Consider the following 25,676-nt stretch of genomic DNA (forward strand, 5'->3'; position numbering starts at 1 on the left):
ATCCAGTCTATTATTGATGGGCATTTGTGTTGGTTCCAAGTCTTTGCTATTGTGAACAATGCTGCAATAAACATGTGTGTGCATGTGTCTTTATAGTAGAAAGATTTATAATCCTTTGGGTATATACCCAGTAATGGGATTGCTGGGTCAAATGATATTTCTGGTTCTAGATCCTTGAGGAATCGCTACACTGTCTTCCACAATGATTGAACTAATTTACACTTGCACCAACAGTGTAAAAGCGTTCCTATTTCTCCACATCCTCTCCAGCATCTGTTGTTTCCTGACTTTTTAATGATCATCATTCTAACTGGCGTGAGATGGCATCTCATTGTGGCTTTGATTTGCATTTCTCTAATGACCAGTGATGATGAGCTTTTTTTCATGTTTGTTGGCTGCATAAATGTCTTATTTTGAGAAGTGTTTGTTCATATCCTTTGCCCACTTTTTGATGGGGTTGTTTTTTTCTTGTAAATTTGTTTAAGTTCTTTGTAGATTCTGGGTATTAGCCCTTTCTCAGATGGATAGATTGCAAAAATTTTTAAATTCAAAAATGTACTCAATTAATCTTTAAGATTATTCTGCAAGATTGACTCCTTCTTGCAACTCTGAGCATTGGTTTGAACTGAATTCTCTGGCAGTAAGTCCTTTGCTATGTAAGGCTCATAGCTCTTCACATTCTTCACTGTACATGTCACCAATTCAGACCTCTTCAAAAAGATCCAAAAAAAAAAAAGATCCAAGAAGGGTTTTTCTGTTGGTGATGTTGGTGTTGGTGTTGTTATTGTGTTGCTTTGCAGTCATCACTTCATGAAACTTTGGAAATCAGCAATAAATTGTCCCTTTCTCATAGAAGAACTTTCACTTAATAATGTGGAGAAAATGATTCCAACAATTAAAAACCAATTTAGACAACGTGGGAACAAGACAGGATCTTGTCAGGAAACAACTGAGATATGACTGCAGTTTACTTCACTTTCACCCTACAGACTCAAGGGCAATATCCATGTTTTACTGGTGTACACAACCAGATTTGCTTCAGTGGAGTTTCAATTCAAATAATGAATTTTGGGTGAAATCAATTGAAAGTTATTTATGGCAAATATTTAAATTTGGGGAGTTTAAATAGTGAGGGAGAGCTTGAAGTTAAACATCTCCTGAATTCTTAATTATTCCAAAATATAATGATGAATTGAAAACTGCCTAGTAAGTCAGGAAGCTAAACAAGCCTAAAAGAAGTCACTGCAATTTTTTTTTTTTTACGAAATTTTCCTGGACTAAATTCTTTTTCTTTTCGTTTTTTATTATTATTATTGTACTCTAAGTTTTACAGTACATGTGCACAACGTGCAGGTTTGTTACATAAGTATACATATGCCATGTTGGTGTGCTGCACCCATTAACTCATCATTTAGCATTAAGTATATCACATAATGCCATCCCTCCCCCCTTCCCCCACCCCACATCAGTCTCCGGTGTGTGATGTTCCCCTTCCTGTGTCCATGTGTTCTCATTCTTCAATTCCCACCTCTAAGTGAGAACATGCGGTGTTTGGTTTTTTGTCCTTGCAATAGTTTGCTGAGAATGATGGTTTCCAGCTTCATCCATGTCCCTACAAAGGACATGAACTCATCATTTTTTATGGCTGCATAGTATTCCATGGTGTATATGTGCCACATTTTCTTAAAGGACCAGTCTATCATTGCTGGACATTTGGGTTCGTTCCAAGTTTTGCTATTGTGAATAGTGCTGCAATAAACATACGTGTGCATGTGTCTTTATAGCAGCATGATTTATAATACTTTGGGTATATACCCAGTAATGGGATGGCTGGGTCAAATGGCATTTCTAGTTCTAGATACCTGAGGAGTCGCCACATTGACTTCCACAATGGTTGAACTAGTTTACAGTCCCACCAACAGTGTAAAAGGGTTCCTATTTCTCCACATCCTCTCCAGCACCTGTTGTTTCCTGACTTTTTAATGATCGCCATTGTAACTGGTGTGAGATGGTATCTCATTGTGGTTTTGATTTGCATTTCTCTGATGGCCAGTGATGATGAGCATTTTTTCATGTGTTTTTTGGCTGCATAAATGCCTTCTTTTGAGAAGTGTCTGTTCATATCCTTCGCCCACTTTTTGACGGGGTTGTTTGTTTTTTTCTTGTAAATTTGTTTGAGTTCATTGTGGATTCTGGATATTAGCCCTTTGTCAGATGAGTAGGTTGCAAAAATTTTCTCCCATTCTGTAGGTTGCCTGTTCACTCTGATGGTAGTTTCTTTTGCTGTGCAGAAGCTCTTTAGTTTAATTAGATCCCATTTGTCAATTTTGGCTTTTGTTGCCATTGCTTTTGGTGTTTTAGACATGAAGTCCTTGCCCATGCCTATTTCCTGAATGGTATTGCCTATGTTTTCTTTTAGGATTTTTATGGTTTTAGGTCTAGCATGTAAGTCTTTAATCCATCTTGAATTAATTTTTTATAAGGTGTAAGGAAGGGATCCAGTTTCAGCTTTCTACATATGGCTAGCCAGTTTTCCCAGTGCCATTTATTAAATAGGGAATCCTTTCCCCATTGCCTGTTGGCCACCATAGCTTCAAGTCAACACTGCAAGGTCTACTGGGTATTGGAGCATGCATTAAACACCTTTGGTCTTTCTTCTATTTGTGTTTTCACTGGGTAATGAGGTTCTCACGGGCACCACCTTTGGCTCCACTGGATGTTCATCCCTTCCTTCCTGGGTTTCCTATTTTGCAAATGGTGCCATAATCTGTCCAGTTGTCCATGCCAGAAGCCTTGACTCTTTCTTCCAATAAATAATAAAAGAGTTGTGTATTATAAAGGCTTCATATCTCTCTGGAGCATCCACTTTTTTTTTTCCTTATCTCTACTTGAGTTATGGTCACCATCATTTCTGGACTGGATTGTTGCAACTTCTTCTTTGGATTGAACCTGTTTCAAGGCTTGCTTCTCTCAAATTACCTTTCACACTGCAACCATAATGCTATATATTTATAAGACAAATATAATTGTGAGATGATGTCAGTGGGAATAGCAGAATAATGCCCTCCAAAAATCTCCACAAAAATAGAGAACACTGTCAAAAAATAGTCAGAATCAACTCTTTGTTTTTTGTTTTTGTTTTTATTTTTGTTTTTCAGAACTCTGTGTATCAACCCAACGCTTGAAGTAATATAGAGAGTGTTCATTCAAGAAAAATAGTAAGAATAGTGAGTTCTGTCATGTTTCAACCTGCCCCTTTCTCATTACCCCCACTCTGCAGTAACCTTGAAAACCAAAAAACTAAAATCACTATGAAAACTAGCAGCCTGGAAGCCACTGAAGGCAGCTGAATGGAGTTAGAGCCCCTTAAAAGTCCCATTTCTAAAACAATGTCATTATTTGACCTGTCTAGTGGTGCCCTGGGAGATCCCACTTACAACTCAGGAATGGAAAACCAAATAGTGTATTTTCTCATTTCTTAGTGGGAGCTAAGCTATGCGGATGCAAAGGCATGAGACCGATATAATGGACAGAGGAACTGGGAGGGGGGAAGATTGGGAGGGGGATGAAGGATAAAAGATGATACATTGGGTCCTGTGTACTCTGCTTGGGTGATGGGTGCACTAAAATCTCAGAGAACACCACTACATAACTAATCCATGTAACCAAAAACCACCTGTACCCCAAAAACTATTGAAATAAAAATAAAAATTTAAAAAGGAACAAGGTAATGAAAAAGAATAAATATAGTACTAGTTTAAAAGAAAGAAAAATCCTGAAATCTTCCCCACTGTTTCTAAGAGTCCTCTTTTTCCTCAGCCTTTTCTTTACCTCCTCAGTCCTACAGAATTATGCACTGTTTCTTTGTTGGTGCAAGACTCCAAAAGCCTAAAATGTGGTGTTTTTACTGTTACTTAAAAAAAAAAAAAAACACCCTGGTATTCACACACACAATTATTCCTATTTGACTTTTCCTTTACTGTTGTTTCAGTTTCAGGAACTTTTACTGAAGATTCTGCAGAGAACATGCAGAGTCAGCATGCAGCCTTCCTTCCTGATTTTGATCACTCTTCCTTTTGCTCCTTCCTCTTTTAAAAAAATGTAAGATGCTTTTATTGGTGTCTTTGAGAGTCTGTTCTTTAGTGGATAATAATATCTCTGTTTTAGTCTGTCAAGCTTTGGTTAAAAAAACTCATTCCTACCCCCTTCCACATTATATTGAAAGGTGGAAAAAGTCCATTTAATAAACATTTAAAAACCCCATATATTCAGAACATTGGATGCATTATAAATGATCATCAAGTGTGGGCGTAAGAATGTTTAGAGTACCCCATCAGGTTTAAAGAGAAGATATATTTACACTGATTTCTGGCATGCAATTTATGTTCTTTAAATATCTAAAAGACTCATTTCTAAATCTTCTAGCTCCTGGAGAAGGGCTGTCTCTTTTTGAATTTTCTACAGCTGCTTTTTTTCCCAGCTGTTTGCCAGTTGCTGCTTGTTATTTCAGTTGTTTGATTGTTTTCAGTTTCTTAGGTTCTCATGTTTTCCCCGCTATCTTAAAATCTCTTCATGTTGGCTGAGAGAACAAATTTTGGGGTGTGTTTCCTGTTTTGCAGTGACTGGCTTCATGCTTCCTTTGTTCTTAGGGGATGTTTTGGGAAATGGCTTGTTATTTGCCCTTGTAGTTTCATATTCTCTGCGGCCCCTCCTCATGCAGCTTAAGATCAACGACTTGTTCATTTCTTCTAACTGGAGTTCTAAAAGTCATTGCAATATTGGCTCCTCACAGGGTACTTAGAACTGCTTGATAAGTTATTGATCTTATTGGAAATACTATGTCCAGAATTTTTCACTAAGGATTTCTGCATTTGATGGCGTGATATTCTTGTGCAAGATAGAGCTAGTATAATGGAAAATCTCGCACCCATTATTAACACATAACCTGGGGGCACATGTAGTAGTTGTTGCAAGACAGGTTCAGTATGCAAGTATCAGTCATGTATTACACCATATTAATAGAATGAAGGACAAAAATTGCATGATCATCTCACTGGATGCAGAAAAAACATTGTACAGCTCTTTATCTGGGCACCAAGCAAAGTATGTAAAATTTGAAGCCATAGGTTTGGAAATAAGTTTGTGGTTTTTAACACCCCACAATTTGTCCCCTTGATTTCCAAACCCCTGCAGTAGTAATATGTATGAATACAGTGGTAATATGTATGAAGGCTATAGTAGACTGTATTACAAGAGCCAGTTCCAAAGTCAAGTTTACAATCACACAGCAAGTAGAGAATTGCTGCTTTGACAAGAGTTTTCCTAGAGGGCCCAACTCATTATAAATGGGATCACTCTTCAGTATTTACATTATAGCATTTTATTTGTTGCAATATAGAAACATGTTTGTTATTGACAGTAGAAAACTATGGTTTTGTCAACATCTGCACTACCTATTACCAACTCACCAGTAGCTTTTAGATTGTATTTTAGTTCTCACTACTAATGTTACTTTGCCTCAAACCAGGAAACAGGCACCATCTTGGAAGCAAGGAGTAAGCCTTTACCAGGCACAGAATCTATTGTAAGATACTATTTGTAGAATAATATATTCAGTGAAAATATATTTCAAAATGAGACATTAAGGTTGAAACAGACATTAAGGTTGAAAAAGAAGGAGTTGCTGTGAATACAATCACACTTCAAGATAAGAAAATTTTCCTTCCTTCCTTCCTTCTTTCTTTCTTTCTCTTCTTTTTCTTCTTTCTTTTTTTCACATTTATTCCCCTTTTATTAACTGATTTGAAAGGCAACTTTAAAAAACAATGTGTATATTATTGTATTGTAGAATCTATAACATAGAAAAATATAATGTTTACTAGTAAAAGCACAGAGAAGGTGATGGGAATAAAGCTATATTGGAGTAAGAAAATGACAAGATGGGGGAGGAGCCAGTGGCCGAATAGGAACAGCTCCAGTCTACAGCTCCTAGCATGAGCGACGCAGAAGACGGGTGATTTCTGCATTTCTAACTGAGGTACTGGGTTCATCTCACTGGGGAGTGCAGGACAGTGGGTGCAGCACACTGTGCGTGAGCCAAAGCAGGGCAAGGCATTGCCTCACCTGGGAAGTGCAAGGGGTCAGGGAATTCCCTTTCCTAGTCAAAGAAAGGGGTGACAGACAGCACCTGGAAAATCGGGTCACTCCCACCCTAATACTGAGCTTTTCCAATGGGCTTAACAAACAGCACACGAGGAGATTATATCCCACGCCTGGCTCGGAGGGTCCCACGCCCACGGAGTCTCGCTCATTTCTAGCACAGCAGTCTGAGATCAAACTGCAAGGCAGCAGCGAGGCTGGGGGAGGGGCGCCCGCCATTGCTGAGGCTTGAGAAGGTAAACAAAGCAGCCAGAAAGCTCAAACTCGGTGGAGCCCACCACAGCTCTAGGAGGCCTGCCTGCCTCTGTAGGCTCCACCTCTGGGAGCAGGGCACAGACAAACAAAAGGCAGCAGTAACCTCTGCAGACTTAAATGTCCCTGTCTGACAGCTTTGAAGAGAGTAGTAGTTCTCCCAGCACGCAGCTTGAGATCTGAGAATGGGCAGACTGCCTCCTCAAGTGGGTCCCTGACCCCCGAGTAGCCTAACTGGGAGGCATACCCCAGGAGGGGCAGACTGACATCTTACACGGCCGGGTACTCCTCTGCAACAAAACATCCAGAGGAACGATCAGGAAGCAGCAATTGCGGTTCACCAATATCCACTGTTCTGCAGCCACCGCTGCTGATACCCAGGCAAAGAGGGTCTGGAGTGGACCTCCAGCAAACTCCAACAGACCTGCAGCTGAGGGTCCTGACTGTTAGAAGGAAAACTAACAAACAGAAAGGATATCCACACCAAAAACCCATCTGTACGTCACCATCATCAAAGACCAAAGGTAGATAAAACCACAAAGATGGGGAAAAAAACAGAGCAGAAAAACTGGAAACTCTAAAAATCAGAGAGCCTCTCCTCCTTCAAAGGAATGCAGCTCCTCACCAGCGACGGAACAAAGCTGGATGGAGAATGACTTCGACGAGTTGAGAGAAGAAGGCTTCAGATGATCAAACTACTCCGAGCTAAAGGAGGAAGTTCGAACCCATGGCAAAGAAGTTAAAAACCTTGAAAAAAAATTAGATGAATGGCTAACTAGAATAACCAATGCAGAGAAATCCTTAAAAGACCTGATGGAGCTGAAAGCCAAGGCACAAGAACTACATGATGAATGCACAAGCCTCAGTGGCCTATTCGATAAACTGGAAGAAAGGGTATCAGTGGTGGAAGATGAAATGAATGCAATTAAGTGAGAAGAGAAGTTTAGAGAAAAAAGAATAAAAAGAAATGAACAAAGCCTCCAAGAAATATGGGACTATGTGAAAAGACTACATCTACATCTGAATGGTGTACCTGAAAGTGACGGGGAGAATGGAGCCAAGTTGGAAAACACTCTGCAGGATATTATCCAGGAGAGCTTCCCAATCTAGCAAGGCAGGCCAACATTCAAATTCAGGAAATACAGAGAATGCCACAAAGATACCCCTCAAAAAGAGCAACTCCAAGACACATAATTGTCAGGTTCACCAAAGTTGAAATGAAGGAAAAAATGTTAAGGGCAGCCAGAGAGAAAGATCCGGTTACCCACAAAGGGAGGCCCATCAGACTAACAGTTGATCTCTCGGCAGAAACTCTACAAGCCAGAAGAGAGTAGGGGCCAATATTCAACATTCTTTTTTTTTTTTTTTTATTCACCGTGAAATTATTTATTTATTTATTTATTTATTTTTTATTAAAGAAAAGAATTTTCAACCCAGAAGTTCATATCCAGCCAAAATAAGCTTCATAAGTGAAGGAGAAATAAAATACTTTACAGACAAGCAAATGCTGAGATTTTGTCACCACCAGGCCTGCCCTAAAAGAACTCCTGAAGGAAGCCTGAAACATGGAAAGGAACAACCAGTACCAACCACTGCAAAAACATGCCAAATTGTAAAGACCATCAAGGCTAGGAAGAAACTGCATCAACTAACGAGCAAAATAACCAGCTAACATCATAATGACAGGATCAAATTCACACATAACAATATTAACCTTAAATGTAAATGGGCTAAATGCTCCAATTAAAAGACACAGACTGGCAATTTGGATATAGAGTCAAGACTCATCAGTGTGCTGTATTCAGGAAACCCATCTCACGTGCAGAGACACACATAGGCTCCAAATAAAGGGATGGAGGAAGATCTACCAAGCAAATGGAAAACAAAAAAAGGCAGGGGTTGCAATCCTAGTATCTGATAAAACAGACTTTAAGCCAACAAAGATCAAAAGAGACAAAGAAGGCTATTACATAATGGTAAAGGGATCAATTCAACAAGAAGAGCTAACTATCCTAAATATATATGCACCCAATACAGGAGCACCCAGATTCATAAAGCAAGTCCTCAGTGACCTACAAAGAGACTTAGACTCCCACACAATAATAATGGGAAACTTTAACACCCCACTGTCAACATTAGACAGAACAATGAAACAGAAAGTTAACAAGGATATCCAGGAATTGAACTCAGCTCTGCGCCAAGTGGACCTAATAGACATATACAGAACTTTCCACCCCAAATCAACAGAATATACATTTTTTTCAGCACCACACCACACCTATCCCAAAATTGACCACAGAGTTGGAAGTAAAGCCCTCCTCAGCAAATGTAAAAGAACAGAAATTATAACAAACTGTCTCTCAGACCACAGTGCAATCAAACTAGAACTCAGGATTAAGAAACTCACTCAAAACTGCTCAAATACATGGAAACTGAACAACCTGCTCCTGAATGACTACTGGGTACATAACAAAATGAAGGCAGAAATAAAGATGTTCTTTGAAACCAATGAGAACAAAGACACAACATACCAGAATCTCTGGGACACATTCAAAGCACTGTGTAGAGGGAAATTTATAGCACTAAATGCCCACAAGAGAAAGGAGGAAAGATCTAAAATTGACACCCTAACATCACAATTAAAAGAACTAGAGAAGCAAGAGCAAACACATTCAAAAGCTAGCAGAAGACAAGAAATAACTAAGATCATAGCAGAACTGAAGGAAATAGAGACACAAAAAACCCTTCAAAAAAATCAATGAATCCAGGAGCTGGTTTTTTGAAAAGATCAAGAAAATGATAGACCACTAGCAAGACTAATAAAGAAGAAAAAAGAGAAGAATCAAATAGATGCAATAAAAAATGATAAAGGGGATATCACCACCGATCTCACAGAAACACAAACTACCATCAGAGAATACTACAAACACCTCTACGCAAATAAACTAGAAAATCTAGAAGAAATGGATAAATTCCTCGACACATACACTCTCCCAAGACTAAACCAGGAAGAAGTTGAATCTCTGAATAGACCAATAACAGGCTCTGAAATTGAGGCAATAATTAATAGCTTACCAACCAAAAAAAAGTCCAGGACCAGATGGATTCACAGCCGAATTCTACCAGAGGTACAAGGAGGAGCTGGTACCATTCCTTCTGAAACTATTTCAATCAATAGAAAAAGAAGGAATCCTCCCTAACTCATTTTTTGAGGCCAGCATCATCCTGATGCCAAAGCCTGGCAGAGACACAACAAAAAAAGGGAATTTTAGACCAATATCCTTGAACATTGATGCAAAAATCCTCAATAAAATACTGGCAAACCGAATCCAGCAGCACATCAAAAAGCTTATCCACCATGATCAAGTGGGCTTCATCCCCGGGGTGCAAGGCTGGTTCAACATATGAAAATCAATAAACATAATCCAGCATATAAACAGAACCAAAGACAAAAACCACATGATTATCTCAATAGATGCAGAAAAGGCCTTTGACAAAATTCAACAGCCCTTCATACTAAAAACTCTCAATAATTTATGTATTGATGGGACGTATCTCAAAATAATAAGAGCTACCTATGACAAACCCACAGCCAATATCATACTGAATGGGCAAAAACTGGAAGCATTCCCTTTGAAAACTGGCACAAGAGAGGAATGCCCTCTCTCACCACTCCTATTCAACATGGTGTTAGAAGTTCTGGTCAGGGCAATCAGGCAGGAGAAGGAAATAAAGGGTATTCAATTAGGAAAAGAGGAAGTCAAATTGTCCCTGTTTGCAGATGACATGATTGTATACTTAGAAAACCCCGTCTTCTCAGCCCAAAATCTCCTTAAGCTGATAGGCAACTTCAGCACTCTCAGCATACAAAATCAATGAGCAAAAATCACAAGCATTGTTATACACCAATAACAGACAAACAGAGAGCAAAATCATGAGTGAACTCCCATTCACAATTGCTTCAAAGAGAATAAAATACCTAGGAATCCAACTTACAAGGGATGTGAAGGACCTCTTCAAGGAGAACTACAAACCACTGCTCAATGAAATAAAAGAGGATACAAACAAATGGAAGAACAATCCATGTTCATGGGTAGGAAGAATCAATATCATGAAAATGTCCATACTGCCCAAGGTAATTTATAGATTCAATGCCATCCCCACCATGACTTTCTTCACAGAATTGGAAAAAACTACTTTAAAGTTCATATGGAACCAAAAAAGAGCCTGCATCGCCAAGTCAATCCTAAGCCAAAAGAACAAAGCTGGAGGCACCACGCTACCTGACTTCAAACTATACTACAAGGCTGCAGTAACCAAAACAGCATGGTACTGGTACCAAAACAGAGATATAGACCAATGGAACAGAACAGAGCCCTCAGAAATAATTCCACGTATATACAACTATCTGATCTTTGACAAACCTGACAAAAACAAGCAATGGGGAAAGTCACCGCAATTTTTAAATTCACAGTAACAAGCCTCCCCTCCCCATGTTTTGGAATTTTGGGATGTTAAATCCACTTGTTCCTTTTGTTTTGCAATTTCTCATCATATCTTTACCTGTGCACCCCCTCCTTTTACATACACAATGTTTTGTATCATCTTATTGAGAATGATATACTCTATAATTGCACTGTTCAAAACGGTAACCACTAGCCACATGTGGCCGTTTAATTATATGATTTAAAATTAAAATGTAAAATTCAGTTTCTCCATCACATTGGCCACCTTGCTAGTGCTCAACAGCCACATGTGCTAGTGGCTGCCATATTGGACAGGGCAGACAGTAAACATGTCCATCACAGAATTCTCTATTGAACAGTACTGCTTTATAAATAAACACTTTACAAGAAACCACAGAACAATTGTCAAATACATCTCAATATGACTGCAGGAAATCTGTGGTCTATTCTTTCGGCTTGACCCATTTTCCAAAATTGCCTTGAACCATGGGAATAAAATGAATTTTAAAATGTCATAGTACTCTAAAACATGCACCTCTACTCAGCCCCTGCCCTCTCCTTCCTCACCTCCTCCCAACATCTATCTTACTCCTCCTTTAAGGCTGTAGTCACATCACTTACTAGAACCATGGGACATAGGGGAAATGTTCCATGTATGCTCATGTTCAGAAGGGACAGGAGTGAGAAGGCTTGAACAAGAAATTTCATGAGGGAGATATTTAAAACTGTGCTTGGAAGTCTCTACAGATGATCTAAAAGATGAAGCAGGAGAAGCAATATTTGCATCTCCAAACCTAGAGGAACAGTGCAAAAACAGAAGGACCTATCTCCAGTTGCTGGGAGTGAGACCAGTTGTTAGCTCTCAGCTGTTGAGCCGTCAGACCTGTCCAGAAATTAGCTTATGCTGAAGAGAGATGCCCTATGTAAGTCAAGTGTCTTTTCCAGAGGAAGTTTGCATCCGATGGGGATTATAAAGTTCTGCTCACTCTCCTTCATTCTGAAAGTCCAACCAAACTTTAGAACTCCCTGTAGAGTCTATATTTGTTGTGACTACATCTCAGTCTCACTTCTCCCTGCCTAATCCTGGGTTCTTCCCTTCTCCCTCTAGCACATTTCCTGAGAAGATTCCCTAATAAACTTCCTTCATCCATTTTATCTTCATCTCAACAGTCTGTATTCCTAGGAACCCAAACCTTTGCACATGTACATGTACATATCACTTATGTTAGGAAACGCAGTGATGTAATTTGCAATATTAGTAGGTCAAAAGGAAAAAGACATGGAATTATATCAGTCAACGTCAAAATAAAATTTTCTAAATTTATACCACAGATAAAAGACTTTAATGAAATAGGACTAAGCAAAGTATAGCCACACTGATTTTAAAATAAACTAATTAATTTCCAATAACCAACATCAATATTAATGATAAGATATTAGGTGCCCTACAGGTAAATAAATAATAAAAGCACATTAACTCACTTTTGAAAAGGTAGCAAGCAATTGTAATTATACAAGAGAAAGCAACATAAGATATTTTTGGAAACAAGGAGGGAAAATTATCACTATTTGCAACTGAGTCTATGATAAACCTGGAAACTCCAAGACAATCAAAAGGAAATGTTTTAAATGCTAGGATGTGGAGAAATAAGAACACTTTTACACTGTTGGTGGGACCGTAAACTAGTTCAACCATTGTGGAAGTCAGTGTGGCGATTCCTCAGGCATCTTGAACTAGAAATACCATTTGACCCAGCCAACACTCCAGAGTATTACTATAGACATTTCCTAGACAATTTCTCCCCACAGGGAGGTTCTCTGAAATTACAGAGCTGGACAGGGAAGAAAGGCCCAGAATCCTAGAAGCCATGAATGAGTTATGTAAAAATGTTTTGATGGTTAATGATCCTTACAATCAGACTCAGACAAAAATGTCCCCTCTCAGGTTCCCCTTTCTGTGCCCTTCTTCCCCTGGGCAGTGCCTATCAGAGGCTCCTCTTCTCTCCCAGTGGCATCTGCTTTAGAACAATCCCTGCTGCTGGTGTCAATGAGGTTTAAGCCCTTCTCAGGGGGCCATTTGCATCTAGACAAACTTCTAACTGTTGGGACATATCCCAGCTGGGAAGGACTGAAATCCACCAACTTCCTTGGCATTCATGCCTTTCTTTCCAGTCCAGATGAAATCATTAAAACACTCTTTTTTCACTTTTGAGAAGAAGAGACAGTTGGCCCACATGACAGCAAATAACTACTGATTAACTTTCCATTTAAACTGTTTATTTTGCATAATGGCATGAAAGAGAATTTCAAACACAGGCACGTGGTGGCGTTCATTAGCAGTCAGGAAGCTCAGGAAGATTCAAGAGAGGAAGAAGACCGACTGGAGTCTCGGTTTTACTTTCTTTTTCTCTTGGAGCTGAGCTATAAGACAACAGGACTGAACAGGGAGCCAACTGTTTCTTTGAACAGTAAATCAGGTAAGCCCAGATTTACGAAAAGTTCTGCAGTGTTGATTTCTAGGTCCCAAGCCATGCACAAACATTTTCATTTTTCTTAGAACAAATTTGTCCTATTTTAAGAGAAGCAATTTAGAGTGACTGCCTTTTCCTTAAGTGGAGCCAGTTTACAGGAAACCGATGTAATTTACTTTACACATTACTGGCAAAGAAAGAATTTCCATAGTATAAAGTCAATAAAAAGTGCTAACTGGGAAGAATTTGGGCATTAATCGGTGGCTTTCAGTTTTCTGTGCTTGTACGCTTGGTCTATGCCTGCCAGATTTAAGCAAGAGAAACTAGCTGATGAAAACGTACCGATATTTCTCACTCCATAGTAGTTCCTACATTGCAAGGGCTTCATAACCAGGGGCTGTTGGGGAATGAGAAAAATTCAAGCCATTAATGGATCAAGTGAAGTGTATTTCCAGCTTAAAGGACTGCACGGTTTCCCAGAGTCATAATCTTCATTCACTGAGTCTCTCAGCAAAGACTCAACATGAGGGAGGAGGTTTGGAGAGAGTAGAGGAGGGAAGGAGGCAAGGTGGGAAAAGAAAGAGAGGGAAAGGGAGGACTGAGCCTAAGGTGTAAGGGAAGGCACACCTACAGAGAAAGCTGACAGAAGCGAAGAGTGTGCAGGCAAAACAAAAACAGAAGGGAGCCGGGCTGATCTGTGAGAGGACGGGAGGAAGAAAGCGAGAGAGAGCTGGGCATGAGGCTTACAAATGAAACCCACTTCTCAGCCCCTCAGCAAGTGATTCCAGTTCTCTGTAAAGTAGGAAGTCATTCCTTTCCCACCCACCTTGTCCCTTATGAGTAGACAAATGAAACATGGTTGTTTAGAAATATAAGGATCTTGGCCTAGTGTGATGGCTCACGCTTTTAATTCCAGAACTTTGGGAGGCCGAGGCTGGTGGATCATTTGAGGTCAGGAGTTTGAGACCAGCCTGGCCAACATGGTGAAACCCTGTCTCTACTAAAACTACAAAAATTAGATGGGCATGGTGGTGCACACCCATAATCCCAGCTACTCGGGAGGCTGAGGCAGGAGAATCACTTGAACCCAGGATGTGGAGGTTGCAGTGAGCCGAGATCGCACCACTGCACTCCAGCCTGGGTGACAGAGTGAAACTGTGTCTCAAAAAAAAAAAAAAAAAAAAGAAAGAAAGAAAAAGAAAAGAAAAGAAATATAAGAATTTTTCATGATTTAGAACTGAAAAATAAGTTTCTTGTCTCTCTGTTTCTCAGGAACACCAATGGACCAAAATGAACACAGTCACTGGGGTAAGAAGGTGACTTCACGTGTGTGTGTGTGTGTGTGTGTGTGTGTGTGTGTGTGTGTGTGTGTGTGTTTGGCTCTTCTGATGATGTTGGGGCAAAATAAACAAGGGTGAAGGATCTTATTCTAACTCCCACAGCTACCACCACCAGCAGCTGAAAATTGTGGGGTTTTGTTTTCTTTGTTTGTTTGTTTGTTTGTTTGTTTTGAGACAGTGTCTCTCTCTGTCACCCAGGCCGGAGTGCAGTGGCGCAATCTCGGCTCACTGCAACCTCCACCTCCCAGGTTCAAGTGATTCTCCTGCCTCAGCCTCCCAAGTAGCTGGGACTAAAGGCACACACCACCACGCCCAGCTAATTTTTTTTTGTATTTTTAGTAGAGACGGGGTTTCACCATATTGGTCAGGCTGGTCTCAAACTCCTGACCTTGTGATCCACCCGCCTCAGCCTCCCAAAGTGCTGGAATTACAGGCATGAACCACCAAGTCTGGCTCGAAAATTGTTAAAATACTCACCAGGATCCAAAATATGCATCCAGGCTTTTCCCTTATGCACAAATCTTTCAGATCTCTTTGAAATACTCCTTCTCCTACCATTCAGTCTTCTCTTCCTTCTCTCACATTTCCATAGGTTCTTTGTGTGTGTGTGTGTGTGTCTCTCTCTCTGTCTTTCTGTCTGTCTCTATCATTCCCTTCTCTTCCCTTGTCCTTTCTCTCTCTCTCCTCTTCTTGCACCTGTTTCTGCTATCTGTATGGTATGGGCGTCTCTCTCTCTGTATCTTGACCTCCCCTTTCCCACTCCCTCCTCCTCACTCTCTGCCCCTCGACAGCCCTGTCTTCAGTCTCTTACATCAAGAAGAGCCCAGATCTTCCTCCTTACCAAGTTGCCTTCACACTCAACCCTCACCTGTGAGAAATAGGAGGTCTCTGGCTTCATTGTGTATGGAACTTGTTTATTGATCAAGCTGAACTCTGAGATCCAAATGAGAAACAACTTTTTTTTTCCTCCCAGCCACTGACTCTTATTATGCAATCTTGATTTCCTTTTGTTTTGGTTGCGGGGTGGAGGGAATGGAGTCTGGCTCTGTGGCCCAGGCTGGAGTGCATTGGTGCAATCTCAGCTCACTGCAACCTCTGCCTCTCAGGTTCAAGTGATTCTCCTGCCTCAGCCTCCTGAGTAGCTGGGATTACAGGCATGTGTCATCATGCCTGGCTAATTTTTATATTTTTAGTAGAGACAGGGTTTCACCATGTTGGCCAGGCTGATCTCAAATTCCTGACCTCAAGTGATCTGCCCACCTCAGCCTCCCAAAGTGCTGGGATTACAGGCGTGAGCCACCACGCCCGGCCACAATCTTGATTTATTGATGCCATCTCAGGCAGTTGCCTTTCTGATTAATAGAGACTAGAAGAATAGTCTATTAAAGTCACTATGACACATGTATCAGGTGTTGTACTGTTCGGTGCCGTCTAACATCAAACTTACATTCAATTTGAGTTTCTCCTTCCTCTACCTCAGCCTCAGCCTGAACTCTGGTACCTTCCAAAAGTCCTCCTCTCCCTTCCAGCTCTGCCCCCTCAACCCTCATGCTAGTCCCTCCTTCCCCATCAGGCAGGAGGATGGGTGACTGGAGAAAGAAGGTGGAGTGCTTGAGTCCCATTGTCCTTGCAGTTGTCTCCTGGCTAGTCCTCACCGCCATCCCATGCCCCATTACAGCAGACACCCTCCACTGTGCGAGAACACTGTGGAGTCGCCACAGGGCTAAGTTGCAGGCTTCCCGCCAGAGGCTGCGCCCTCTCTGGCAGAATTCTCCAACTAGACCTCTGCTCCCACCCTCATGGCACCCCTGGCTTCCTCTTGTAATTGCACTCCGCTTGCCATACAAGGCAGGCCTTTGGACAGGGCCTCATCAAGGCAGCTGTGCCTAGTTATTTTCTGTAAGATCCCTTCTGTCCATGGGAAACCCCCTAAGCCATTGCTGCTTACTCCTTATCCTGGTCTCCTAGGTGGCTCTAGTCAGCCTTCAAAATTTAGAATTCTCCAGAAAGGAAATAGACACCAATTTCCATGTTTATACATGTCTCCAAACTTCAGGTTACATCTAACTCCTCTCAAAAATTTGCTCAAGAATTCTCTTCACTTTGCTGCACTTGGATAGGCTTACCAGTTTCTGTCATTCAGCAGACACCCATCTGGGAAATGACCTACCTATCTCTCAACTTTGGTGACATGCCCAATATTTATGAGTGGATGATTTAGAGACCCTCTCACTTGGCTTTGGATGCAGAGAATTCTCTTCCCTATACCCTCCCCATGGGAGAGAATGAGGTAGCACTCCCTAGGAGGCCAGCAACTCAGGACTCCCACCGCTTCTCTTCAATGACTCCCTTCATTTCTGTTTTCATAGGCGAGAGGAAGGTTAAACGTGCAATTTGGCTGCCTCTAAGCAAGCTCCAGCGCGGTGTATCAGGAGCTGCTTGGCTGCTGTTTTCAGAATATAGAAATGTGTAATGTAATGCCTGCTTCCTTTTAAGTACAAGTGTCCATTGCATGTCTACTGTGAGGCCATAATTTCACTGGCCTACAGAAAATAAGATTAAATGTCCATAAATTTTGGCCAATTTGTCTGGAAGAGAAAATACTTAAATATGTGCAACAAGTGTTGGCGTAGCAGCATGGCAAAGCACTAATACTTCAGGCATAGAAAACGGGCAGGTTCAAATGCCAGCTTTTTCATTTACAAAACTGGTTACTTTTAATGGGCTCTAAGTTATTGGGCAAGTTGCAGATTTATGTGTAAAATAAGGTGAATAAAAGGAACCCATGGGTAAAAAGGTTGACAAACCCTTTCCCTTTCTGAGAATTTAATCTTTGGTTAAATGTTTTAGCTGAGATTCTCTAATAATTTAATAAGAGTAAAATGTCTCTAACATTATTAGGAACTTTGCTTATGGTTGAAAACTTCTCTTGATGGGTGAATTATATCTATACTGGAAGAACTATAAATACATGCTAGGAAGCTATGTTTTGAACTTCCCTGAGCACAGTGACTCTTGTAACTCTCATGTTCCTTGCAGGGAATCTGGAAGCTAAACCCCAGAGTTGCTACAAGAGACATTGGCTCCTGTGAGTCCAGGTGGCTTCTATAACTGCTCAAGATGCCATCTCCTTGCCCTGGGACCTCCCTAGGTGACAGTTTGCAGTGTTCCATGAATTGCTGCATAGACTTCCACTAGGTGGAAGGCCCAACATTGTCCCTCTGGCAAGCGAAGTTTTCCATTCTTCTGAGTAGACTAGTGTCCCAGTGAGGCCCATGGCAGTCCTGTGAGCCCGAGAGGTCATTTGAACCAGCTAAGAACAAGACCACTGGTGGGCATTGCAGCACCTAACCCTAAATCATATCATTGCTAGGAGGAGTAAATTAGGTAATGCAGGTAAACCACTTGGAACAGATCCTGGCACATTAAAAGTGCTCAATAAAGGGTAGATTTCACTAACTATTTAGGTGACTTTGTCCAAGTTACTTAACCCCTGCATGCAAGTTACTTCATCTATAAGGAGGTTGCTATAAACAATCCTAGCCTAATTTTCACCAAGTGCTTAAGTGCACCAGCACTCTTTTAAGTTCTTTACATATATTAACTTATTTAGTCATTAGAACACCACCACATGGAGTAAACCATCATCTTCTCCAGATGAAGAGAAATTAATCAGTTGTCCAAGATCATATGACTAGCAATGGAAAGACAATCTAAACTAAGCAATCCAGCTCCAGATTCTTTTTTTCTTCACCACTGCATGCTGCCTCTCAGAAAGCTCATTTTCTTTGTACAGTCTAAGTTCCTTCTAAGCTCTGATATTCTGTGGTCAATGTAGACTTTCCTTCTCCAACTTTCTCTCTGCAACATGAGAGTAAGGAACAGCTAAACCGCAAAAGGCAATGAGCTTAGCAGGAGAGTCTTAGTTTGTTTGGATATTCCCTCCAGAAAGATTCTCCTGTTATCATGGTATTCCGTTTCACTCATATAGGTCAAATGTTCCTCCCTTACAGTAAAGGAATCAAGGGGTTAACCCTCAAGAGCCAGAGTCACCCTTGCCTTGCAAGTTAAATCACTCCTCTCTCCACTACAAAGCTGCATCTTGGTTCTTCCATGAACCTGCCCTAGACAAGTCATTCTTATCACTGCCATGTGGACCAGCGAAATGGCACCATGGCTCCTATGCCTTCCCCTTTTATGTGTCTGAAACACATTTTTTCCCTAAAGCCTCAAGCTCCTTCATACCTCTGTCCCCATTCACTCCTCTCCCCAGAACCTTACCCACGTTGAAGGGAAATGGGGAAGGAGAGAGGAAAGTTTACCATATTCTGTGACTATTTTATACCAAAATTATGCCATGCTTTCTAAGCAAAATTATGATATCCTTTATAAGATATCAGTTGTTTCTTCACTAATAAAAATAATTTTACACTGCTCATTCTAATATTTTGCTGGTCCAGCCACTTCCCTGGTAGTCATGACCCCACTCTGCCCAGCCAAGGTCAAAGTAGCAACCTCTGGCCTTGAAACAGAGCCAGGTCACTTGGCCCACATTGAGATGGAACCCATGGCCTTGCCTACGCATCTCTGATCTCCAGAAAACTTTTCTTCTAGAGATCCAGGACTGAGTGATTCAGGCAACCATTACATGATGAGAAATGTCTCTAAATCCATCTCATCCCCAAGTATGTTTTCCTAGGCTCCAACATGGCAATACCCTGCAGTCCTACAGCAATCAAGTTAGCTTTCATTTCACGTGAAATAGATGTGCGAGTATCTTTTTACATAACGGGGAATACCTCCTTATCATTAAAAATATTCCACTACCGGCTGGGCCCGGTGGCTCACGCCAGTAATCCCAGCACTTTGGGAGGCCGAGGCGGGCGGATCACGATGTCAGGAGATCGATACCACGGTGAAACCCTGTCTCTACTAAAACTACCAAAAAAAAAAAAAATTAGCGGGATGCGGTGGCGGGCATCTGTAGTCCCAGCTACTGGGAGGCTGAGGCAGGAGAATGGCGTGAACCCGGGAGGTGGAGCTTGCAGTGACCCGAGATCACGCCATTGCACTCCAGCCTGGGCGACAGAGCGAGACTCCGTCTCAAAAAAAAAAGAAAAAGAAATGAAAGGAAAAAAAAATATTCCACTGCCGTGATCAGTGTAGCGATAACACAGTAAACTTGCTCCTCACAGGACCACATGCAAAGGGCCAATGTGCCAGCAGATCTGAGCTGAGAATCATCCTGGTGGGCAAAACAGGAACTGGCAAAAGTGCTGCAGGGAACAGCATCCTCAGGAAGCAAGCATTTGAATCGAAGCTGGGTTCCCAGACCTTGACTAAGACTTGCAGCAAAAGTCAGGGAAGCTGGGGAAATAGAGAGATTGTCATTATTGACACACCAGATATGTTTTCTTGGAAGGACCACTGTGAAGCTCTGTACAAAGAGGTGCAGAGGTGCTACTTGCTGTCTGCACCAGGACCCCATGTGCTGCTCCTGGTGACTCAGCTGGGCCGCTATACCTCACAGGACCAGCAGGCTGCACAGAGGGTGAAGGAGATCTTTGGAGAGGATGCCATGGGACACACAATTGTCCTCTTTACCCACAAGGAAGACCTCAATGGTGGCTCCCTGATGGATTACATGCACGACTCAGATAACAAAGCCCTAAGCAAGCTGGTGGCAGCATGTGGTGGGCGAATCTGTGCCTTTAATAACCGTGCTGAAGGGAGCAATCAGGATGACCAAGTGAAGGAACTAATGGACTGTATTGAGGATCTGTTGATGGAGAAAAATGGTGATCACTATACCAATGGGTTGTACAGCCTAATACAGAGGTCTAAATGTGGACCTGTGGGATCAGATGAAAGAGTAAAGGAATTCAAACAGAGCCTTATAAAGTACATGGAAACTCAAAGAAGTTACACAGCCTTGGCTGAAGCAAACTGCCTAAAAGGAGCCTTAATCAAAACACAACTGTGTGTTTTATTTTGTATTCAGTTGTTTCTCAGATTGATAATTCTGTGGCTTTGCATACTGCACAGCATGTGCAATTTGTTTTGTTGCTTACTCTTTAGTATGTGCAATTTATTCTGCAGTTTGCTGTTTATTATACCCAAAAAGTTAATGATATTTTTGAGAACAGTTATTAGACTAGAACGCAAGACTCCTAGGTTATAGTTACAGATCCCAGTTATTATTTACTCACTATCATTTAGTGGGTGAATCACAGTAATTTCCCTGTAAAATGTGGTACCTGAAGTCATATTTGAGATTCTATGAAATGTTTAAATCTGAACATCACTCCAATTATTAATGAACCAAATCATACGATAAGTTACTGTTTGCATTGAAATATAATATCAAAGCCTTTTGAAATCTGTAAACATAAAATTCCTCTCATTTTCAAATATCTAAAGCCAGTTTTATGTTCCTAAAATCTCATTTTCTTCTTTCTAGTACTACTATTTCTACTGAATATAATGAAAATGGCAATAAAATAATATTACATAAACTGTAAAGTTCCTTTGATCATATGTTGTTAATTCTCTTCTATAGTTTTCTCCTTAGAAAATGGTAAGTGGACATGACTCATGTTAGCCAGATTTTAGCCCTGACGTCCTACAGATTTATCACTGAAACATAAGTAAAGACAAATGTCAGAAAAGATAGCAAATTGGACTGGATATTCTGAAGCATCATCTTGCTAGATGCAAATAGAGGCTACATTTATTAAAAGAAACAGAATTTTTATAATTGATGAGTTCACCAGAAAAATAAAGAAAATTCCAAAGGTAGAGCAAACAATATTTTTTTTTAAATGAGGAGCACAAACTGGAGTTGAGGCCCATGAGGAATACATGAACAAGGAAGGCAGAGGTGACCGATAGACAAATGCCGGTACCAATCCTAAGATGAAGAAATCAATCTTGGGCTGTCAGTAAAATTGGAGAGCTGATTTGGAGTGTTCTGTATTAATTTAGGACCTTCCAGGAGACTAAAGTTATCCAAAATTAGTTGAATTATTGACAGCCAGTAGAAGCAAACACAAATCTTCTCTAGAGGAAAACATCTCCAATTTACTTGAGTATTCAGATGGAATTAATTCAGTAAAGTGAACCCAAATCATGTCCCTATGAACAAGATCAAAAAGATTAAAAAACCCAACAGAAGTAGACTCAGAAACTTTAATATCACAGTACTAGTTACAGTGTACTAAGTAGCTATAAAATATTTCTTAGAATATCACACACATACAGCCCAAATTAAAAAGGAACAAAAAACTACCAAAGATGATGAGCTGTATTTGAAAAAACTCATGAAATTTTAATAAATCAAATTATAATTGATTTTTTTAAAGTTAATGATGAATACTCCTATTAGTGTTGGAGAAGTGTATTCATTACATAAACTCCTCCATGGGTAGCAGTTATAAAAACTTTTAAAAATTTTAAATCTATGTAAAGATACTGGAAAACATCTAAAAGTGGACAGATGAAAAAAGAGAGTTTCTCTCAAACATTGCAGGGATTTGTATTAAAATTTGGAGCAACAAAAGATGCAGACTATCACTGCTTCTATTTAGCATTTTACCACAGGTCTTATCTATCTAATAACTTCAAAAAAAGAAATAAAAATAAAAGGTATGAGTACTGATGAGAAAGAAAAATAATAATTTTAGATAGATAATTAAAGGTAATAAAAGTAGAGCAATGAATCTCAATATAATATCAACTTTTTAAAAGCTACAACACTTCCATATCCTGACAACAGACAGAAAAACTGAATTTAAAAAACAGAGTTCAGACTTCCTTGTCAGATCAAAATAGCATAACAAGGACCAGATATCCCCTTCCTGCCCCATGTGAAACAATCAAAAAATGGACAAATGATATAAAATGACAGTGCTGAAGACACTGAAAATCAGGTAACAAAAGAGAGTAATCACTGAGAATTGGAAAACAAGACAAGAGTTTCAATTTTCCCAGCCTCCTGTCTTGAGAGAGTTTTCAGGTCACAACACAGAGAGGGTATAACAGACAGACCCTATGTTGACTTCAAATGATTCCTGGCCCCTGGTGTTCACACCTTTGTAGAACTCCTCCCCTTGATTGTAGGTGGGATCTGAGACCTATTTCTAACCAATAGAACATGGCATAGGTGACAGAATGTCACTCCAGTGATTTATATAGCTGCACAAAGACTTGCTTTTCCTTTCCTCCTGGCCTTCAAGGAGCAAATTTCCATTTTGTGAATTGCCTATGAACAGGGCTAACATGGCAGAGAACTGCAGGTGGCCTCTAGCCAACATACAGGAAAAAGTCAAAATCCTTGGTCACAGCCACAAAGAAACAAATTGTGTCAACATCCTGAGGGTTCAGATCTTTCCCATCAAGCCTCTGATTAGACTTAAGCTAGCATTACAGGCTGGTGAAACCCTAAAGCAGAGAACATACAGTTAAGCTATGTCTACACTCCCTGCCCACACTAATCTTGAGATAATAAATCTATGCTGTTTTAAGTTGCTAAGTTCGCGGTAATTTGTTATGCAGCATTAAAAAACTAACATTTATGGAAACCAGGTGGAGCCTGGCAGACTCCCTGATTTGAGAAGATAGAGTTGGGATTCTGGAGATACAAAGGTGGCTAAGAGTTCACATAACAGAGTCTGAGAGAGGAGAGAGCTATATGGAGAGAAAACTAGACACCTGCAGAGAGTCCCCCTTGAGTCTTCAATTGAATACTGATCACCACATGCATGTGGTGAAACCCCCTGAGGTGACAAAAAGAACCAGTCAACAAGATTAGAGGAAACAGTGTCCTGCACTCACCACGGACCATAAAAACTAAAAAAGCCTGTGATTTGTGGGGCATTGGGTAGATTTCCCAGAAGAGCCTTGCCTCACTAGTGGGAAATAATTGGTTCTAGACTGACAACTTATCAAGTATGCCTACCAAATATTAAAAGCAAGACCTGAAGGATCAAACTGTTTCCAAGTAACTTAAATGCATCCCAGAAGAAAGCTCAAGAATATTTACAGAAGTAAGAAAATATTCAGCACATAAGAAGGTCAAAACCAGATGTCTGGCATCCAGTAAAAAATTACCAAACATGAAAATTAGCAAGAAAATATGAAGAGATAAATCAATGAATAAATACCAGCCCAGACTGACAAAAGTGTTAGAATTATCAGCCAAAAACATTAACACAGTTATTACAACTGTGTGCTATATGTTAAAACAGTTTAAGTAGTAAGGTGGAAGACATTAAAAAGATCCAAATTTAACCTCTAGAGATAAAAACTACCATAAAAGATATAAGAAGTACATTGAATAGGGTTAGCAAAATATTAGGCTGAAAAAGAAAAGATTAGTGAACTTATGATCATCTAAATAGATGCAGAAAAGGCTTTCAATCAAATTCAAAAATCCCTTCATGTTAAAAACTCTCAATAAACCAGGTATTGAAGAAACATACCTTCAAAATAATAAGAGCTATCTATGACAAACCCACAGCCAACATTATACTGAATGGACAAAACCTGAAAGTATTCCCCTTGAAAACTGACACAAGACAAGGATGTCCTCTTTCACCACTTCCATTCAACATAGTATTGAAAGTCCTGGCCAGAGCAATCAGATAAGAGAGAGAAATAAAAGAGAGTAACAAAAGAGAGTTTGTTTCTCTCTTCCAAATGGGAAGAGAGAAATTTACACTATCCTTGTTTGCAGACAACATGAGCCTATATCTAAAAAATCCCATAGTCTCAGCCCAAAAGCTCCTTCGGCTGATAAAGAACTTCAGCAAAGCCTCAGGATACAAAATCAATGTACAAAAGTCACTAGCATTCCTATATAACAACAACAGTCAAGCCGAAAGCTAAATCAGGAATGCAATCTCATTCACAACTGCCTCAAAAAGAATAAATATTTAGGAACACAGCTAACTAGGGAGGCGAAAGATCTCTATAATGAGAACTACAAAACACTGCTTAAAGAAGTCAGAGATGACACAAACAAATGAAATAACATTCTATGCTCATGAATAAGAAGAATCAATATTGTTAAAATGACCATACTGCCCAATGTAATTTATAAATTCAATCTTATTCGTATCAAACTACCAATGACATTCTTCACAGAACTAGAAAGAAAACTATTTTAAAATTCATATGGAATCAAAACAGCCTTAATAGCCAAGGTGATCCTAAGCAAAAAGAACAAAGCTGGAGGCATCATGCTACGTAACTTCAAACTATACTACAGAGCTACAGTAAGCAAAATAGCATGGTACTGGTACAAAAACAGACATATAACCAATGGAACAGAATAGAGAGGCCAAAAATAAGGCCACACCAACTACAACCATCTGCCAAAAATAAACAATGGGGAAAGGACTCCCTATTCAATAAATGGTGCTGGGATAACTGGCTAACCAGGCTAGCCATATGCAGAAGATTGAAGCTGAACCCCTTCCTTATACCATATACAAAAATCAACTCAAGATGAATTAAAGACTTAAATGTAAAACCCAAAAACTATATAAACCCTGGAAAACAACCTAGACAATATTATTCTGGGCATACGAACTGGCAAAAATTTCATGATGAAGATGCCAAAGGCAATTGCAGCAAAAGCAAAAACTGACAAATAGAATCCAATTAAAGAGCTTCTGCACAGCAAAAGAAACTATCAACAGAGTAAACAGACAACCTACAGAATGGGAGAAAATTTTTACAAATTATGCACCTGACAAAGGTTTAATATCCAGCATCTGTAAGAAACTCAAGCAAATTTATAAGAAAAAAAAGCAACCCCATTAAAAAGTGGGCAAAGGACATGAATAGCCACTTTTCAAAACAAGACATACATGTGGCCAGCAAGCATATTTTAAAAAAGCTCAATATCACTGATAATTAGAGAAATACAAAATAAACTACAATGAGATACTATCGCACATCAGTCCAAATGGCTATTACTAAAAAGT

The 25,676-nt window shown here is 40.0% G+C and overlaps 1 protein-coding gene, 1 long non-coding RNA gene and 1 pseudogene across 3 annotated transcripts in view, besides 1 other annotated feature; 1 reads left to right on the forward strand and 2 right to left on the reverse strand.

Moving 5' to 3' along the window:
* The window catches only part of LOC124901774 (uncharacterized), a 39,410-nt gene extending 24,128 nt beyond the window's left edge, over positions 1-15,282 (reverse strand). Inside the window, exons 1-2 of one of the 2 annotated variants that reach the window (XR_007060589.1) lie at positions 15,166-15,282; positions 13,691-13,745 (exon numbers count right to left, since the gene is read on the reverse strand). This is a non-coding gene — a long non-coding RNA (uncharacterized LOC124901774). Of the gene's footprint in view, positions 1-13,690; positions 14,277-15,165 lie in introns of those variants that run through there. The other variant, XR_007060588.1, reaches the window with a different exon arrangement.
* Positions 4,402-5,487, reverse strand: EIF2AP3 (eukaryotic translation initiation factor 2A pseudogene 3; annotated as a pseudogene).
* Positions 13,150-13,349: an enhancer, noted in NCBI's record as "active region_26841". NCBI's record gives its function as "activates an Ori minimal core promoter by ATAC-STARR-seq in GM12878 lymphoblastoid cells {active_cell/tissue: GM12878}" and the evidence as "EXISTENCE:reporter gene assay evidence [ECO:0000049][PMID:35858748]".
* On the forward strand, positions 13,275-21,210 carry GIMAP2 (GTPase, IMAP family member 2). Its single transcript, NM_015660.3, has 3 exons — positions 13,275-13,354; positions 14,621-14,656; positions 19,884-21,210. Exons 2-3 carry the CDS (start codon positions 14,629-14,631, stop codon positions 20,867-20,869), a joined length of 1,014 nt encoding a protein of 337 aa, NP_056475.1. The 5' UTR covers positions 13,275-13,354; positions 14,621-14,628; the 3' UTR covers positions 20,870-21,210.
* The last annotated feature ends 4,466 nt before the right edge of the window (positions 21,211-25,676 follow it).

This window comes from Homo sapiens, chromosome 7, assembly GCF_000001405.40.
Source record: "Homo sapiens chromosome 7, GRCh38.p14 Primary Assembly".
Classification (NCBI taxonomy): domain Eukaryota; kingdom Metazoa; phylum Chordata; class Mammalia; order Primates; family Hominidae; genus Homo; species Homo sapiens.